A 4662-nucleotide genomic window follows, 5' to 3' on the forward strand; every position below is an offset into this window, starting at 1 on the left:
GCTTTATTGAGGTACAATTATGAAATCACTCACTGTTTGTATAATTAGATGATTTCTAGGAAGCTCATATAGCTGGGCAACCATCATTGCAATCTGGGTTTAGGTCATTCCTATTACTCCAAAAAGTTGCTGTGTGCCATTTGCAATCAGTTTCACTCCCAACCTCAGGCCCAGACAACCACAGATCGCTTTCTATCTCTATGGATTTGCTTTTTCTAAAAATTTCATTTAATGGAATCATAAAATATCTGATCTTTTGCATCTGGCTTCTTTCTTTGCATTGTTTTTCAGGTTCATCATATAGCATGTATCAGTAGCTTTTTCCTTTTTCTTGCTGAATAATATTCTGTTGTATGGATCGACATTTTGTTTCTCCATTTCTTCCAGCAACATGAGTGTGTTCATTTCACAGGAACTGGCATCCTCTTCAAAAGAAATTAATAGATGATTCAATTGTGAAATATTTTCATAATTTCTGCTTTAGTTGACCTATAATTTCTTCCTTACACAATAGCCAAGATATTCTCATTTATATTATGAGGAGTGTATTATAAACATTTTTTTCTAAACTCATGCAATTCTTGAATACAAACTTCACAAATCCACTATTAAAGCCCTCCTAGTTTTTGGTGGAGAATAAAAGATAATGAGTTTCTCTGACATGCTTAATACTTCCTTCTGGAAATGAAGATTAGTTGATATTAACTGAACCAAGTAAACCAATTAAGATGATGATGATATGATTAAAACCCTTAACTGTATTTTACTTTTTACAAACTTTTATATCATTTCAGTCAATTCTTTTAACAGGCCCATTGTGGTATGCAGGAGTGGTATTTGAATCCTCATTACAGGTAATGAAACAGATTAAGAGAAGTTAAGAGCTAAAATCTCATAGGGCTGAAACTCAAACCTAAGTGCCCCGGTGCTGTTTATATTCCACCCACACACTATTCCATTCCCCATGTGTCTTGTCTTATTCTAGGTGTCTGTGTGTGTGTGTGTGTGTGTGTGTGTGTGTGTGTGTGTGTGTACGCATGTGCCTGTGGAGCCCAGTGCCAAATGAATATATGGGGCACCTTGTTAAAAATTATTGAGTATTTCAAGATGGCGACAGCAGAGTCTTAAACCAAATACAGGGCCCTTGTGAGCACAGGGTCCTCTTGGGCCACACAGGTTGTGTGCCCATGAAGCTGGCCATGAGCTTGTGAAAGAATGCCCTATTCAGGAAACTACTGGTAAGATTGGAGTGTCAGATGTGGAAGTAGAGAAGCAAGGCAGAGTTACTGCTCCCATCTATTTACTCTGAGATGGGAGTAGTAATATATAGAAGCCAGGCCACTAAAATTTTATGTTCCATGCTACTATTTTTAATGTATTCCAAAGGCAGAGAAAGTCACCTAATAATTTTAACTGAAAGAATTGCAATCACATTTATATTTTAGAAAAAAATCAATCTGATCTATATTTCAAGGACGGATTTTCAGGTGTGAAAATGAAAAGAGGAATATAAATTTGGGGAGAAATATCAGTATTCCAGGTTAGAGGAGAAGAGGGCCTCAAGGCAGTGGAATTTGAAATGCTGAAGAGGGGGTGACGTGGGGGATCCTGCTCCTTGCCTTTGAATGCCTTGACAGCCAGAAGCACTCTGGCACCTCATTGTGCCTCAGTCTGGAAAGTCCCTCCAGAGAGCAAGCTGGGGGCTGATGGTCAGGCTGACCACATTTGCATCCCTCCATTAGGAAGCATGGTGGTGGGCTGCCAATGTCTAAAAACAATCACTTCATGTATTTTTCCCAGTTTGAATTTCTTTTAGTTGTTGAAGGGCAAGTCCAGTAACAGTTTATTCATTATGGTTGAGTGGAAAACTGTGGTTTATTTTTAAATTTAGTAATTCAGTAGCTTCATCTGAGATAGTATTGCCCCCGGTGGGTTAGTTCTCCGACATCCTGGGAGTCATTTCTGGAGGGTGGTGGAATAAGAAAGCATTTTTAAAATATTAAATTAGGTATCAACTACCTTTCTATCTCTCTCTCTCTCTCTCTCTCTCTCTTTCTCTCTCTCACACACACACACACACGCACGCACACACACACATTCTTGAATGCTTTATAGAATGGGAGAAAAAGGCTCAGAACTACAGATTCATTCACATAATGTGAAGCCTATTTAAGTATACTCATGAATGTGTCACACATTTGAACTTCATCTTTTATGTGTAGCAACAGCAGATGTTGAAAGTATAACCCCAACGCAGACAGACATTATGGTAAAGCTTTCAATGGGATAGGGAGTAGAGATTTACTGTCATCACTAAACATGCAATTGATTTCACCATTCATGTGAAGTGCTAAATGAGATTAATTTGTTAGTCAACTGGAGCCCTGTGTGAACTTTAGTATATGTCAGTAGTCTCTTGGGAAAGGATGTTCCACCTTATGATTAGGAAGAGAAGACTCAGGTTAGGTTTAGGGGATCAGAAATTGTGGGTGGGAAGAGAGAATGATCTGTCTCTGAGATCATGGCTCACTGCTCTGGTAATTCAGAAGGAGCGAGCTGCAAACAAAGGCCATCTAAGGCTAAGAGAGAATTACAAATCAGTTGTATTGCCAGAGAGGTGGTCTCTGCTATGCTATCCGTTTATACTTGGGATTAGTGAGAACTCCCAACTTCTTGCAGTTATCTGATGAAACAAATGACACTTGCTATAGTACAAAGTCATTTTCTCATGAGTATCATGTACAGCTTCTACGGAAACCACGCAGTTTTGCAATGGTAGGAAAGTAAATGTTTATTTGGGCTTGGCATAGAACTAGATACCAAATTTTCTGTTTCTCAAGAGTGTTTTTCTTTGAAAGAACTCTCCCCGTCTTTCCTTTTTTTCCCCTTTTTTTAGAGTCCTTTGGCCTCTGATCCCACAAAGGCATCAGTCTCCACTTCAATAACTTCTATCCTATAATTTAAGAAAGCTGACATTATTTGGAATTCTGAAATCAATACCTGCCCAGTCAGCATTGCCCCTTATAGAGATAACTGTCTGTATGATTCACACAGTAGAGAACGCATAAGCTTTAAATCAACCATCCTGCACTTGTTCAGCAATTCTATATCCTTGCACTAGTATTTAATTAGTTTATAGGAGCAAATCTATCATGTATGTATGTTAACTATAATTAGGTATAGCATGAAGAAAAGTGTTGTTCTTAATAAATCTCTTTGCATTGCATTGTATTGTGAAACATTGATTTTTCAGAAGAAAATTATCTTCCAGGAAGAGAAAAAGGGTGACAAAACTCTAGATCTCCAGTTTCCAAATTCCACTACTTCTCTGCACCACAGTAGTTTGGCTATGACTATTACTTTAGATCTTCAGGTTAAGCTTTCCAGGAGTGTTTTTTTTGCTTGTTTTTAGTAGTTAGAATATGATGCCATTATATAACTTTAGATGCTTTAAATTGTGTTGTCTAAAAAATATTTACCAAATATTTACTGATGCTTACTATGTATAAACTATCATCCCAGGTGAAGGGGTTACCTGTAGTTTTTACAAATCAAAGCAAACTGTTGCTTTAAAAACAAATTATCTTTCTCTATGGAGCCTAATATGGCAAACAGACAATCTGGAGCAACCTAGACCCCACAGGGCTCCAATGCCTATGATTGTGTCTGATGCTGGCTTAGGTACCGTACTAGTCAGAGTTCTCTAGAGAAACAGAACCAATGGAGGATCTGTTTCTATGTGTATGTGTGTACGTATGTATATCTAGATCTAGCTCTCTAGAATTATCTATCTATATAGACTATCTATTGAAAGAGATTTATTTTAAGAAATTGGCTCACAAAATTATGGAAGTTGGTGAGTCCAAAATCTGTGGAGTAGGCTGGCAGCCAAATGACCGAGGGAAGAGCAAATATTGCAGTTCAGTTCCAAAGGCTGTCTGCTGGCAGAATTCACTCTTGTCTGGGGAAGGTCACTCTTTGTTCTGTGAAGGCATGCAACTGGTTAGATGAGGCCCACCTGCATTATAGAGGGCAATCTGCTTTACTCAAAGTCTGTCAATTTAAATGTTGATCTCATCCAAAAAAATGCCCTCACAGAAAATCCAAGATAATGTTTGACCAAATATCTGGGCACTGTGGCCCAGTCAAGTTGACACACAAAATTACCCATCTCAGGTAGCATATTTTCCATAAAGATAATAATGACAAATACTATATAGTACTTATTAACATGATAGGCACTGTTTTAAACACTTCACATGTTAACTGATTTATTTATTTATTTATTTATTTTTTCTGTTTCTTTAAACTTTTATTTTGGCTTTAGAGGTACGTATGCAGGTTTGTTATGTAGGTAAACTTGTGTCACAGGGGTTTGTTGTACACATTATTTTGTCACTCAGGTATTAAGCCTAGTACCCAAGAGTTATCTTTTCTCCTCCTCTCCCTCCTTCCACCCTCCACCCTCAAGTAGACACCAGTGTGTGTTCTTTTCTATGTGTCCATGTGTTGTCATCATTTAGTTCCCACTTATAAGTGAGAACATGCGGTATTTGGTTTTCTGTCCCTGCATTACTATGCTAAGGATAATGGCCTCTAGCTCCATCCATGTTCCTGCAAAGGACATGATCTCATTGTTTTTATGGCTGCATCGTATTCCAT

This window comes from Homo sapiens, chromosome 4, assembly GCF_000001405.40.
Source record: "Homo sapiens chromosome 4, GRCh38.p14 Primary Assembly".
Taxonomy (NCBI): Eukaryota; Metazoa; Chordata; class Mammalia; order Primates; family Hominidae; genus Homo; species Homo sapiens.